The 13,708-nt window shown below is 56.8% G+C and overlaps 1 protein-coding gene across 2 annotated transcripts, besides 3 other annotated features; it reads right to left on the bottom strand.

The window, feature by feature from the left end:
• PSCA (prostate stem cell antigen) lies at window positions 954-13,382 on the bottom strand. 2 transcript variants are annotated; one of them, NR_033343.2, is made up of 3 exons: window positions 13,111-13,382; window positions 2,245-2,352; window positions 954-1,758 (listed from the first exon to the last, which is right to left on the bottom strand). NR_033343.2 is itself a non-coding variant. In NM_005672.5 (3 exons), the coding sequence occupies exons 1-3, from the start codon at window positions 3,138-3,140 to the stop codon at window positions 1,547-1,549; spliced, it is 345 nt and encodes a 114-aa protein (NP_005663.2). In that variant the 5' UTR covers window positions 3,141-3,184; the 3' UTR covers window positions 954-1,546. The 2 variants fall into 2 exon arrangements, 1 of the variants encoding a protein (NP_005663.2); NM_005672.5 differs by lacking the exon at window positions 13,111-13,382 and adding an exon at window positions 3,116-3,184.
• Window positions 1,793-2,439: an enhancer, noted in NCBI's record as "H3K27ac-H3K4me1 hESC enhancer chr8:143762658-143763304 (GRCh37/hg19 assembly coordinates)". NCBI's record gives its function as "activates a minimal SCP1, AML or CMV promoter by ChIP-STARR-seq in naive H9 embryonic stem cells {active_cell/tissue: H9 hESC(naive)}" and the evidence as "EXISTENCE:reporter gene assay evidence [ECO:0000049][PMID:30033119]".
• Window positions 13,366-13,515: a silencer, noted in NCBI's record as "silent region_19603". NCBI's record gives its function as "represses an Ori minimal core promoter by ATAC-STARR-seq in GM12878 lymphoblastoid cells {active_cell/tissue: GM12878}" and the evidence as "EXISTENCE:reporter gene assay evidence [ECO:0000049][PMID:35858748]".
• Window positions 13,516-13,665: an enhancer, noted in NCBI's record as "active region_28065". NCBI's record gives its function as "activates an Ori minimal core promoter by ATAC-STARR-seq in GM12878 lymphoblastoid cells {active_cell/tissue: GM12878}" and the evidence as "EXISTENCE:reporter gene assay evidence [ECO:0000049][PMID:35858748]".

The raw sequence follows: 13,708 nt of genomic DNA, 5'->3' as shown, positions 1-13,708 counted from the left end.
GTCACTCAGATGCTGGCCTGGGGAGCTGCACCCTGCTGACAATGCCACCCTGGGCCCCCAGTGTTCAGGAGGGAGGTCTCCCCGTGAAGTCACATGTCAGACGGGAGGCCTGGCTCTTTCCAGCACAGCTCTGCCCACTGTCTGCTCCATGACCCACCCTCAGAGCTCCAGGCCAGGGTTCCAATCCTGGCTCGGTATGGGATGTGGGCAACAGACCCGTTCCCTTTCCTGAGCCTCTGTCTCCTCTTCTCTGAAACCGCCCCCCGAGCCCCACCCCTAACACCCTTGGAGGCCTCACCCTGAGCAGGTCCCCACCCAGGTCACAGGCTGCACCCCTAGCCCTAGGGCGGGAAGCAGGCTGTGTGCAAAAGGCTTCCCCTGAGCGCAGAAGGCAAGTGTGGATGGTGTCCTCCCACTCAGGGGCCTGGGGATGCTCACGGGGCACAGATTCTCCCAGAAAGAAGCCTCTGGAGGTGTAATGGGCACCCCAGAGAGGGAAGGCGCTGGGGTTCAGGGTTGGGGGAGGCCACCTGTCACCGGGGACCCTGCTGTAGTGTTTGAATGCTGTATGGTGGGTGTGCAGCTCTAAAACAAATTTTGAAAAATGGGGGTGCTCAAATCAGGCCAAGGGGATGGGTAGGAGCTTGAATGGTAGCAGTCCCTCCCCCCGGAACGCTCTCCTTCCTGTGAACTTTCTGGGTCCATCCTCCCAGCAAGGAGGGGTCATAGATGAGTCGCAAGGCTCAGAGAGGTCTGGCCACATGCTCCAGGCAGCACAGCAAGTGCAAGTCCTGGGAACTGCCCTCCCACCCTCTGCAGGGACGTCCTCCTTTCAGGGGCCAAGCTTTGCTCCTGTTAGGGCGGAGGCTGCAGCCCATGTGACCAGGGCCCTGGTCCAGACACAGCCCTGGATCCGGTGCCCGCCTGGGGTGTGCAAGGACAGAGGGTCTCTCTGGCTTATCCAACAGGTGTTTATTAAGGGCCTACGCTGTGCTGAGGCTGCCATTCAGGGAGCCCCACGAATGTGAGGCCTGGCCCCTTCCTCCAGGCCTCCAGGCCCCATCTCTGGAGACTCCCAGGAACTCACGTCGACTCCTGTCCTCCAGTTCTACTCAGTCCACTTCATCTCAGCCTTTACCGGGCCCTCCTGAGTGCCTGTCCCCTGCTGGGTGCGGGGGACACCACGGACCAGACCTGGCTCAAGTCATAGATGGGGTGGGCAGGGAAGGCTTCCTGGGGGAAGAGGTGCCTGAGCACAGGGTTAAGGGTGGAGAATGCTGGGCCATGGAAACAGCAGCAGAGAGGGTTGGAGGGGCCATCTGCAGGCGGATCTGTGTCAATAGAGCCGATCTGCCGGGTGGGAGTCCTGGAGAGGGCCATGGGAGGGTCAGGGTGGGGGACAGGGGCGCAGACATACATGGTCAGACTTGCGTTAGGATGTGCCTCAGGAACCAGGACAGGCTCCCACTGGGCCGGGTGTGTGAGGAGTGGCACAGAGGCCTGGGGCACCACACCCAGTGTGGGCTGCAGCGGGGCCCCCCAGAGCCTAGAGCTGGCCGGGTCCCCAGAGCAGCAGGCCGAGTGCAGGGAGCAGCGCAAGGATGGCAGCAGCCGGCTGCAGGGCATGGGCCCCGCTGGCGTTGCACAAGTCGGTGTCACAGCACGTGATGTTCTTCTTGCCCACGTAGTAGTCCTGTGAGTCATCCACGCAGTTCAAGCTGCAGCCTTTGCTGATGACGGTCAGGAGGCCAACTGCGCCTGGGGAGCAGCGGGATCCGGGGATGGGGCTGCCCTGTGTGCTCACCTGCCTGACCTGCCCCAGGCCTCCTCCTGTCCCACCCTGCCTAATGCTCTAGAGTCCCCCTGGGCTGGCCTCAGGATTGCAAGCAGTGCGAGGGCCTGGTCTCGGCCCTGGTCTCAGCCCTATCCAGATGTCCGAGGCAGATGGACCACCCGCTGAGCGTCAGAAATGGGGTGAGTGAGTAAGTGAGCTCAGGGATGGGGAGGGACAGATGGGTGGAGGAGTGGAAGATGGAGGATGGGGAGGGACAGATGAGTGGAGGAGTGGCAGATGGAGGAGGATGGCTGGAGGGACAGATGCTGGGTGATTGTTGGGGGTGCAGGTGCGGGACGGGTCGGGGACAGGTGGAAGGAAAACAGCACACAGATGCGGACAGATGGCCAGAAAGATTAATAGTTCAGTGGCAGAGACCTAGGCCTGGCGGCTGTCGTCCCCCCACTCACGGATGCGCGCGGTCCAGCACTGCTCCCCCAGCTGGGTGCAGTTCTCCACCTGCAGGCAGTCCTCGTTGCTCACCTGGGCTTTGCAGGAGTAGCACAGCAGGGCAGTGCCTGTGGGGTGGAGTGGGAGGGGCCTCAGAGGCTGCCCCATAGCACTCCCCAGGAATGGGGGCTCCCAGGCAGGTGGGCCTCCATGGCGGTGGCCTGAGGAAGTCCTCGGCGCCCTCTTGTCACCCTCAATGTCTCCTCCCCATCTTCACGGCCCCCTGCTCAGTGCCTCCGAAATGTTGCCCTGTTTAGTCCCTCGGTGGCTGCTTTTGTGACCGTGTGTTTCAGAAGAGGAAGCTGCGGCTGTGGGGGTGACTGAACCCGGGACCCTGGGTCGGGAGGGTCCCACCTCAAGCAGAGCAGCTCCCTGGGACCCTTGGAAGCTGCAGTGCTGGGACTGGGCCGGATGTAGACCCCCGGGTCCTCGCAGGACACCCCCAGCACCTCCCCCTTGTGCCCCAAAAACCACTTCTTAGCCTGAGGCTTCCTGTCCCATGTCTCCCAGCTCCTCATCAGCATCTCTGCCCATCCATCCGTCAGTCTGTCTACCTGCCCCCTAGGAGCCAGGCCCTGCCCCACGGTGGTGAAGGAGAGTGACTCCGTGCTGCCCCTGCAAGCCCCGGTCACAGGGGACGGCAGGGAACAGGTCGCTGCCTGGTCGTGCCAAGAGCTTCCCTGGAGGAGCGGAGGCTAGGGCAAGAGCCTCACCCCCTTCCTCTCCCTTCCTCCTTCCTTCCCCTCCTCTCCGTGTGCCCTGCAGGTATCCCTCTGGCCTCCCCGGCTCACCCCTGCTCCCTTCCCTGCTGGGGGCCAGCCAAGGCCTCACCTGGCTGCAGGGCCAAGCCTGCCATCAACAGGGCAAGCAGCACAGCCTTCGTGGTCACTGGTGGGCTGTGGTGGAGAGGGCCTCAGGTGACTTTATATGGCCTCAAATGGGGAGAGGCTGGACTGCCCACAGTCAACACCAGCGGGTTTCCTGGAGCCAGTGAGGGCCCCGGGGCTGGGCAGGTCCGAGTCTCCTCCCTGAGCGACCTGCACCTCCCTCTCCCTTTGTCCTTCTTTCCACCTCTGGAGGACAGAGCCTACCCAGGGCCATATCTCAGCCACCCCGGGCTGAGGGCTGAAACGTCCTCAAGACCCAGATTATGCCTCTCCCACCTCCCCCACCTCACAGTGCAAGGCCAGACAAGGGAGACCCTTTCTCCAGACTCCTCCAGGCCTCGGCCTTCCAGCCAAGGATGAGGGCACCTCCCTGGGCCCTGTGCTCCTATAGAAGCTGTGCCGCCCTCTGGGGCCCACGGCCCGCAGGGTGATGAGCCTTGGTCACAGCGTCACTGACAGATCATTAGCAGGTGCTGCAAAGGACAGGGGCAGGGGCTGTTCCGGTATAAACCAAAAGTAACATTCTAAGGCCCCCCAGCCATCTGAGTGGAACCCTCCTCTTGGCAAGGGCTTTCCGAAGTTAACCTGAAAAACTGGTTCAGGCCATGACAGCAAAGGGTTGGATAGCCTCATTATCCCTCCTCCCTTCAGAACTCTGGAACAGCCAGCGTTAACATCAACACAGGCCTTCAGTCTGATGAGAAACATTTACCATCTATTGTCTCGGAAGCCTGCTACCTGGAGGCTTCATCTGATGATAAAGCCTTGGTCTCCACAACCCCGTATAACCCAGACATTCCTTTCTATTGATAACTCTTGCAAGCGATTGCCAACCAGAAGATGTTTAAATCCACCTATAACCTGGAAGCCCCCAGTTCCAGCTGCCCACCTTTCTGGACTAAACCAATGTATATCTTCAATATATTTGATTGATGTCTCATGTCTCCCTAAAATGGGTACCATCAAGCTGTGCACTGACCACCTTGGGCACATGTTCTCAGGGTCTCCTGGGGGCTGTGTCACAGGCCATGGTCCCTCATATTTGGCTCAGAATAAATGTCTTCAAATATTTTACAGAGTTTGGCTCTTGTTGACACAGGGGACAGCCTCCCTGGGGAGGAGACCCTGTTGGACGGGCCTTCATTTATGGGGCATTCAGTGTGGGCTGAGCCCTGGGCTAGGTGCTTTACCCTCAGGACCTTGAGTGACCCCCTCAGCTTGGAACTTTAGCTGCAAACGAGTCGGGGAAGTGCAGCTTTTAGCAGCCTCTGCAGTAGCAGGAGGCAGCGGCTAGGCCCAGGGCTGTATGGCCTCTGTTTGCCCCAGATCCCCTCTCCGTCCTGCTCCATGTCCTGGGAGGCTGGTCCAGCTCCCACAGGCAGGAGATGAGAGAGTGGAAGAGGCAAGTTCAGGCCAGCTCTCCTGCCAGTCAGCTGGGAGGTGGTGGCAGTGGCTATGGCCCTCTAGAGCAGGCCCAGCCCGCTGGGCGGTGGTGGCAGTGGCTATGGCCCTCTAGAGCAGGCCCAAGCTCTCATGCCAGTCAGCTGGGCGGTGGGTGGTGGCAGCGGCTATGGCCCTCTAGAGCAGGCCCAGGCTCTCATGCCAGCTGGCTAAGTGTTGGTGGCAGTAGCTATGGTCCTCTAGTACAGGCCTAGGCTCTCCTGCCAGCCGGCTGAGTGTTGGTGGCAGTAGCTATGGTCCTCTAGAGCAGGCCCAGGCTCTCCTGCCAGCCAGCTGGGTGGTGGTAGCAGTGGCTAGGACCCTCTAGAGCAGGCCCAAGCTCTGCTGCCAGTGGCTGGGTGGTGGTGGCAGTGGCTATGGCCCTCTAGAGCAGGCCCAGGCTCTCCTGCCAGTGGCTGGGTGGTGGTGGCAGTGGCTATGGCCCTCTAGAGAAGGCCCAGGTCCCGTCAGCCAGGCTTCTCCTGTCCCCCGGGTTCTGGCCAGCCTCTGGTCACTGTGCTCTCCCCCTCATCCCTGCAAGCCCGAGGGGCTGGTGGCTTCCTGCTGCTGGCTGGCTTTGAGGGGGACTTGTGGCCGCTGCTGTCTCCTTCAACCTGACCCCTGCCTTTGTACATGGACCCTGAGTTAGATAACTCTGCCTGGCAACCCTCTTGGGTATGCTGTTGTTCCTGCCGGAAGCTGGTAGGTCCACTGTGGTCCGTGGCCCTGCCTGCTGCCGAGTGTGTGTCTGGAGGGAGACCGGCCCCTTCTCCCCTGACGCTCTCTCGTCCCCGCTGATGGTTGTCCGGCCTTCATTGTTACCTCCTCTCCTCGATTTTGCCCCTGAAAAGGCTCTGGCACATTTTAGGGGGTGGTGAGGATGTTGCAGTCAGGAAAAGTCTCGGGGAATCGGACCCTCTCCCAGCAGGTCTGCACCGTCCAGGAAGGCCTGCACCGTCCAGGAAGGCTGGTAGATGTTTCTGGGGTGTTCAGGGGACATCAGCTTCCCACTGTCTCACCTTGAGTCTGGGATCAAGGTGACACTACTGATGGGGGCAGGGACGATGCAAGACCCGACCTCCCTGGGACTCAGTGGCACCAGGAATCTGCCTTTGGGCTTCCCCCGGGGCTCCAGGTCAGCCCCTGTCCTTCTGAGGTCTCTCCTGCCTGCCTCCCTGGAACCCACTGGGTTGGGCTCTTTTCCATGGAAATTGTCTCTTCTCTGGCAAGTGAGGAGCCTGAGCCCAAGAGGGACAGGAACTTACTGGAGGCCATGCAGGGTGACTGCAGCCTCCCCCAGACTCCTTGCTTGCCCACTCTGCCCACCCAGAACTTTCCCTCTGGACACGCCCTCCAGCCCATGTCCTGTAAGCTCAGGACAAGGGGCCTCATACAGTCATGAACTGCTTCCGTGTGTGGCTGACAGCCCCTGTCCCATCCTCCCTCCGCCCCCCGCCCCAGCTCGCCCGGACTCTGGCCACTCCCGCACAAGACGTTTTCTTATCTGTCTCTGTGTTCAAGGTGCCAGCCTGGAACTTTCCGTCCTCAAATATTTATAGGTGTGTAAGTGTTTGTTGATCTGATTTGATACACAGTGATTGCTGTAAGGCAGTGGTTCTCACGTGGGTGACTCTGCACCGCCAGGGAATGTTTGGTGATGTCTGGAGGCATCTCTGCTTATTCCAGCTCAGGGGTGCTGCTGGCCTCTAGTGGGTGCAGGCCAAGGAGGGGGCAACACACAGGATCCCCACCACAGAATCCGCAGCCCCAGCATCCGCCGCACTGAGGGTGTGGCTGGTCTGAGGATGGCCCCGTGGTCATGGCTCCTATACGGAAGACCATGGCTGTGACATTCCTAGAGCCCCACCCCTGACCACAGGTTGGGTTCTGACCTCACCCCAAAACTGAGCCCTCACTGTGGTCAGTCTGAACTCTAATCCTGGTTACCTAACGAGCCCTGGTTACGGCCCCACCCTGAGCCCTGGCCCTGGCCACTGGCTGAGCCCTGATCCTGGTCACAGAATGAACCCTGACTGTGGTCACCCTCTGATTTTTGACCCTGGTCACAGGCGAATCCCTGTCCCCTGTCATTCACACTTTGGCCATACACTGAATGCAGCCCCTGAGCCTAAACTGAGCCTGGATCTTCTGGCAGTTCTCCTTTCTGGGAAGTTCTGCCACAAGGGGCATGGCTTCCTGCAGATCCTCATCCGGTGGACAGGGGCTGAGAGGCTGATGTGAGTGATAATAAAACTCCAGTCTCCCGGTCAGCTGGCTCTGTGTGAATTAAACTCTTTCTCTATTGTGATTCCCCTGTCTTGATAAATCGGCTGTATCTTGCCAGGGGTCAAAATGAACCCCCTGGGTGATCACACACTAGTGTATTTTCTTCCTTCTCTTCCTCTCTTTCTGATCCCTCCCCAGTGCCAGAATGGACTTGGTCTTTGAGAAGAGATCCAAGGTTCCCTGAGTAATGGTAGGAGCACCTGGGGGAGCCCCATGCATCTTGGGGATCAGGCCCCAGTTCCGACCCCAGTTCCATGCCAATCTCCACTCCCCACCAGCAGCACCCAAGTCCTGGGAGACCAAGTGATCCCGTCCCTGAGGTGGTAAGCAGTCACACCAGGGATGGAACCAGCCTTCCTGTCCCAGGAGACCCTGCCTTGGGAACCCCCATCCAGCGGCCCTGGGTTCTAGTCCCACCATGTGCCTGGTATGCCCCATGACTAAGCGTCCTCCACTGTGAAACATCTGACTCTAGCATGCTCAAATTCCTGACCCACAGAATCATGTACAATAACAACAGTTAGTGTGGCTTCAGTGTGACTCACCCTTGGCCTCCTTCCTCTTCTCTGCCAGTTGCCTCCAGGGACTCCAGATTTTCCTGTTTGCTCTTGGCCTTCTGCCCACCCACCCCACTGCCATGGGCCCAAAGCAGCCGGGTTCCCTGGAGATCCTGTCTTCCACCTAGTGCAGGGCATGAGGCCGGGGCCAGGACAGCCGGACCAGGCCCTGGGGCTTCTGGGAGCTGACTCACCTTGCAGGGAGTCCCACCACCACCTTCTGGGGCCCCACACGGTCCCATGCTGGAACACACATCCCTGTGTGTAATTTTTTTTATTTCATGCAGCATTAATTAAAAAAATAAAGATAGCATGTCACTTGCAAAGCCACGCTGGTGTCAGTTTTTAGCATCTTTGCTTTGGAAAAACGCCCTTGCAGATCAGGAGGAAAACCCACTGATGCACATGGGTTGGCTGGGGGCACTCAGTGCCAAGCCCCCATTTGGGTTCTGGAAATTAAGGCCATGACTTGCAAGCTGTGTGTGTGTGATATGTGACTGTGAGGGTTTGTATGTGCCAACTATGTGGGCATGGGAGTGTGCCACATAGTGTGTGTGAGAGTGTGAGAGAGGATGCTTGTCTGTGCATGTGGATCAAATGTGCAAATGTGTGGCATGTGTGTAAATGCAAGTGAGTGTGGGTGTGTGCACCGGTTGTGTGTTGTGTAAGCAAAAGCATGTGTGTAAATGTGGGTGTGTTGGGGCCACCAAGTCCTGAGGGCTGTGCAGCTTGGAGCCCCTCAGAGGCGTTCTTCCCCAAGCCCACCCAGCTGGGGCCCACAGGCCCTCCCCATCTCTAACTCCCCCAGGGCCCTGTGTTCCCAGAGGAGGTGCCTTTTCCTGGCTCTCACAAAGGCGTCATCAGGGCCCTGCCCCAAACCAGCTCCCCTCCTGCCTGGGCACTAAGGTGGAGATGGGCACTGCCCCAGCCCCTGCCCCACCAGCCAGGCCCCTTGGCCTCCAATGACCCTCAGAACCACCCCCACCACTCTGCACCCTCTGCTCCTGCCACTCCCCCTTCCTGGAGTGAACTCAGACTGGGGAGGAGACCCAAGGCACACCCTTCCCTTCCAGCTGGGCACAGCCTCACCAGCACCCCCAGCCACCCCTGCTATGAGAGGCCTGTCATCCAGAGACCTCCAGAAGGAGGGCTGGCTGGGACTGCCCCAACCTGAGGCCTCCGGCACCTGAGCAAAGGACACTGCCGGATACAAGCCCACCTCCAGGCAGAGGGAATAGCAGGCACGGGGGATGACCCATGGGCTTCGGAGAGGACAGTGAGGGGTTAGCTCCGGCGTGGCCTTGTGGCCCAGCGAGGACCTGAGCTGTATTCAGAGTGCACAGGCTTATTTGGGCAGGGGGAGTGACTGGCCCTGTCAAATGCCACTCTGACTGTGGGTGGAGATGGGGAAGCCAGTGCAGAAGCAGGCTGCTGTAGTGGCCCAGGCATGGTCTGGAGGCTCCGCTCAGTAGGGAAGCAGGCTGGTGCAGTGGCCCAGGCATAGTCTGGGGGCTCTGCTCTGCGAACTTGGGGCATGGCTGGGGGAAGGGAGTCCTCAGAGCCAGCCCCCAGGAGACACTGGAAACTGCCTTTGTAAAAGTTTTAACAGTGAGAAAATGGTGATGGTGAAGGAGATCTGATCTAACCCACAGCCAGTTAATCTCCAAACTGCCCTTAGTCATTTCTGGGCATAACAGCCCTTTTCCAAAACTCAGCCATCTTTGTAAAGCTAACGAAAGGCCACCACTGCATGAGGAAGATGAGGGGATCTGCGCTCTGCTGAGGTTAGACTGAAATGATTCCCAGCCGTTATTCATTAGGAAGATGGGGGATCTGAGCTCTGCTGAGGTTAGACTGAAACGATTCCCAGCCGTTATTCATTAGGAAGATGAGGGGAGTCTGAGCTCTGCTGAGGTTAGACTGAAACGATTCCCAGCCGTTATTCATTAGGAAGATGGGGGATCTGAGCTCTGCTGAGGTTAGACTGAAACGATTCCCAGCCGTTATTCATTAGGAAGATGGGGGATCTGAGCTCTGCAGAGGTTAGACTGAAACGATTCCCAGCCGTTATTCATTAGGAAGATGGGGGATCTGAGCTCTGCTGAGGTTAGACTGAAACGATTCCCAGCCGTTATTCATTAGGAAGATGAGGGGATCTGAGCTCTGCTGAGGTTAGACTGAAACGATTCCCAGCCGTTATTCATTAGGAAGATGGGTGATCTGCGCTCTGCTGAGGTTAGACTGAAACGATTCCCAGCCGTTATTCATTAGGAAGATGAGGGGATCTGAGCTCTGCTGAGGTTAGACTGAAACGACTCCCAGCCGTTATTCCAGGGACCACAAGATTTGCAACTCCCCCAATTACTCCTGCAAGTAACATCACTATTGTGATCCTAAGATTGGCCTTGTGAGATGTCGTTTCAGGTTTTTGCACGTCTAATGACTGATGGATGGCTCTAGCGAGGCCCACCAACCCCGCAGCCGGTCCTGTGGCCCCACCTGGACGCAAACTCAGTGCACAGGAGGACCATTTTCCACATCCCCAGCCAACCAGCAGCACCCATTCCCTGGCCCACCAGACTCTCCTTGAAAAACCCTAGCGTCCGAATTTTCTGAGAGGCTGATTTGAGTGATGATAAAACTCTGGTCTCCCGTTCAGCTGGCTCTGCATGAATTAAACTCTTTCTCTATGGCAATTCCCCTGTCTTGCTAAATCAGCTCTATCTTGCCAGGGGTCAAAATGAACCCACTGGGTGATTACACGCTAGTGTATTTTCTTCCTCTCTTTCTGACCCCTCCCAGTGTCAGAATGGACTTGGTCCTCGAGAAGAGGCCCAAGGTTCCGTGAGTAATGGTAGGAGCACCTGGAGGAGCCCCATGCATCTTGGGATGAGGCCCCAGTTTCATGCCAATCCCCACTGCCCACCAGCACTGTCCAAGTCCTGGGAGACCACGTGATCCCATGTCCCTGAGGTGGCAGTTAAAAATAGGAGTTAAAAATAAATTATTTAGGCAGATAGTGAGGGTAAGGAAGTCCTCAGTAAGGTTTTCCTTTTAATGAAAAGCAGGCTCCAAATCATTTTCTTTTCTAACAAAGAGCAGCCTGTAAAATCGAGCCGCAAACATAAGACAAGCAAGCTGGAAGCTTGCACGCGTGAATGCCAGCAGTTGTGCCAATGGGAAAAAGCTACCTGAGACTAGGCATGATCAAAATGGCAGCTCCATCTTCCCTTCTCTTTGCCAGCCATGTGTACAGCAAGGAGCAGACAAGATGGTGCTGGCCAAGTAGAAGCCCATTTGCATAATAAGATTAGGGTGGGGCGACCAGCCTTCCCCACGCCATATGTAAACATCACCCTTGGTCATACCAATCTGTGGGCCCTTTGTAAATCAGACACTGCCTCCTCAAGCCTGCCTATAAAATCTGCTGGGGTCTGCTGCAGGCTGGCTTTTCTCTTTTGGACGCCTCTTTCGAAAGAGAGGGCTGCTCTCTTCTCTCCTTTCTTCTGTCTATTAAACTTTCTGCTCCTTAACCCATCTACATGAGTCCATGTCCTTAATCTTCTTGGTGTGAGACAATGAACCCCAGGTATTTACCCCAATGATGCTGCTTCAGCAGCAGAGTCGCACCAGGGATGGAGCCAGCCTTCCGGGGGAGGGAGGACTTTGCTGTCCCAGGAGACCCTGCCATGGGAGCCCCAGTCCAGGGACCTTGGGTTCCAGTCCTGCCATGTGCCTGGTATGCTCCGTGACTCAGCCTCCTCTGTGAAACACATCTGACTCTAGCATGGCCAAATTCCTGCCCCACAGAATCATCTGCAATAAAAACAGTTGGTTTCAAGCTGCTAAGTTTTGGGCGGTTTTTGATGCAGCAGTTGATAGCTGTATGGGGGTAAGGGCAGAAACAGAGACTGGGGAGGAGGCAAGACCACAGAGGTGTGGATTGGGGAGGGCAGTTGGAGGGAGTGAGAAGAGGCCAAACACTGGCTGGATTTTGAGGGTAGAGGATCTGGATATGAGGGATGGAGACTGTTGAGGCTGAGCCTGAGTGAATAGCAAGGTGAGCTGCCGTTCATGAAGGTGGGGGCAATGCAGATGGAGCAAGGCTGGGCTGGAGGATCAAAGCTAAGCAGAGACATTGGCTAGCACATAGGAGTCTGGATTTCTGGGGAGGGGCCCTGGCAGGAGACATGAATTTGGTCGTTGCCAGTGTTGGATGGTATTTAACGGCATGACACTGGAGGAGATCACCCAGGGAGTGGGGACTGGTTGAACAAAAAGAGCCAAAGAATGGCCTGGTCAGTAAGGAACCAGCAAGGGAGGGTGAGGAAGAGAAGAACCAGAGGGTGGGAGGGTGCTGGGAGCCCAGGTAACAACGGACCTAAGGATGAGTGAGCTGGCACATGGGCTCGTGCCTGGAATCCCAGCATTTTGGGATCGCTTGAGTCCACGAGCTCGAGACCAGCCTAGGCAACACAGCTAGACCTCGTTTCCACAAAAAATTAAAAAGATAGGTGAGACAGTGCATGCTTGTAGTCCCAGCTACTCTGGGGGTTGAGGCAGGAGGATCCCTTGAGCCCAGGAGGTTGAAGCTGCGGTGAGGAGAATGTACCACTGCACTCCAGCCTGGGCAACAGAGTGAGACCCTACCTCAAAAAAGGAAAAAGGAGGAGTGAGCTACCCAAATCTGTATTTGTTTATTATTGCTGTCCTAACAAATTACCATAAACGTGGTGATCCAAAACAATACAAATTTATATCTTACAGCTCTGGGTTCAGAAGTCTAATGGCACAATGAGTGTCATGGGCTAAGATCAAGGGGTCAGCAGGCTGCATTCCTTCTGCTGGCTCCAGGAGAGGCCCTGTTTCCTTGTCTCTCCCAGCCACTAGAAGCCGCTCATAGTCCTTGGCTTGTGGCCCCTTCCTCCATCTTCAAAGCACATCACTCCAACCCCTGTGTCTGTTGTCACATTTCCTTTTCTCTCCTCTTTCATCCCATTGTCCTCTCACTTGGCTTCCTAACTCCCACAAGAACCCCTGATATGGCACCTGCCCTCCTATCTGAACCCGTGGGCTCTGCATCCAGATGGAACCAACCGAGGATACAAACAATTCGGAAAAAAACCTGTGTCTGTACTGAACATGTACAAATTTTTCTCTTGTCACTATTCCCTAAACAATACTGTATAACAACTATCTACATAGCGCTTACATTGTATTAGGTATTATAAGTAATCTAGAAGTGACTTAACGTATACGGGAAGATGTGTGTAGGTTATATGCAAATACGAAGCCATTTTATGTAAGGGATTTGAGCATCAAGGATTTTAGCATCCTTGAGAAGTGCTGGAACCAATCCTCTATGGATACCCAGGGACGACTGCACATTGGGCTCACCCTGATAAACATAAGAATCTCTCCACCTAAAGAATCTTAACTTCATTGCATTTGCAGTCCCTTTTGCCATGTAAGTAATGTATTCACAAGACCTGGAAGTTAGGATGTGGACATCCTTGGAGGGCCATTATTCTGCCCACCACAGTCCACCCTCCAGTTTCCAAAATTTGCATAGGTCCCATGGGCAAAATCCACGCACCCATCTCAAGGTCCTCCACAGCCTCAACTCATTACAGCACCAACTCAGGTCCATACTCACTTAAGTCGCACCCAGTTCAAAAGTTTCAAATCCCATCGTCTGAATCATCTAAATTGGGTATGGATTGGACCCCAGCTAAGTAAGGGGGTCAAGCAGGCGGGCTGAGCACTGGTCCTGGTGACCGGAAGGCAGCACTGCCCTCCCCGCATCAGAAACTGCACCGGGAAGACCGTCCTGGGCTGATCGGCACGAAACCCTGGGCGCCTGTGGCTGCCCCAGAACTGCAGGAGCCCCAACGCCTTCAGCGCAGGGTTCACTGTCATGAAAGGAATGTGACGCCCTGCGCCCATTCTACAGATGGAGAGAGCAGGGCGGAGCCCGGGGCCCAGGCCGCGCGCCCCGCCTTCGCCCCGTTTCCCCTCTCCCCTCCCTGCCCGCGCCTTCTCCCCTCCCACGCCTCCCCCCACCCTGGGACCCCCCCACTCCTCTCCTCCAGGCCTCCTCTCCTCCCACGCCCTCCGCGGCCACCCAGCTCTTTGAAAGCCTGCGTCTGGCTCCCAGACACCACCGAGTGCTGAGTCCTCCAGCCTGTCTAGAGCGTCCCGGAAGTAGCTGGGGGAAGGCGACGAGGCGCGGACTGGAGGAGAACCGAGTGGCC

This window comes from Homo sapiens, chromosome 8, assembly GCF_000001405.40.
Source record: "Homo sapiens chromosome 8, GRCh38.p14 Primary Assembly".
NCBI classification, from domain to species: Eukaryota; Metazoa; Chordata; class Mammalia; order Primates; family Hominidae; genus Homo; species Homo sapiens.
This window is presented reverse-complemented; position numbering and strand designations above follow the sequence as displayed.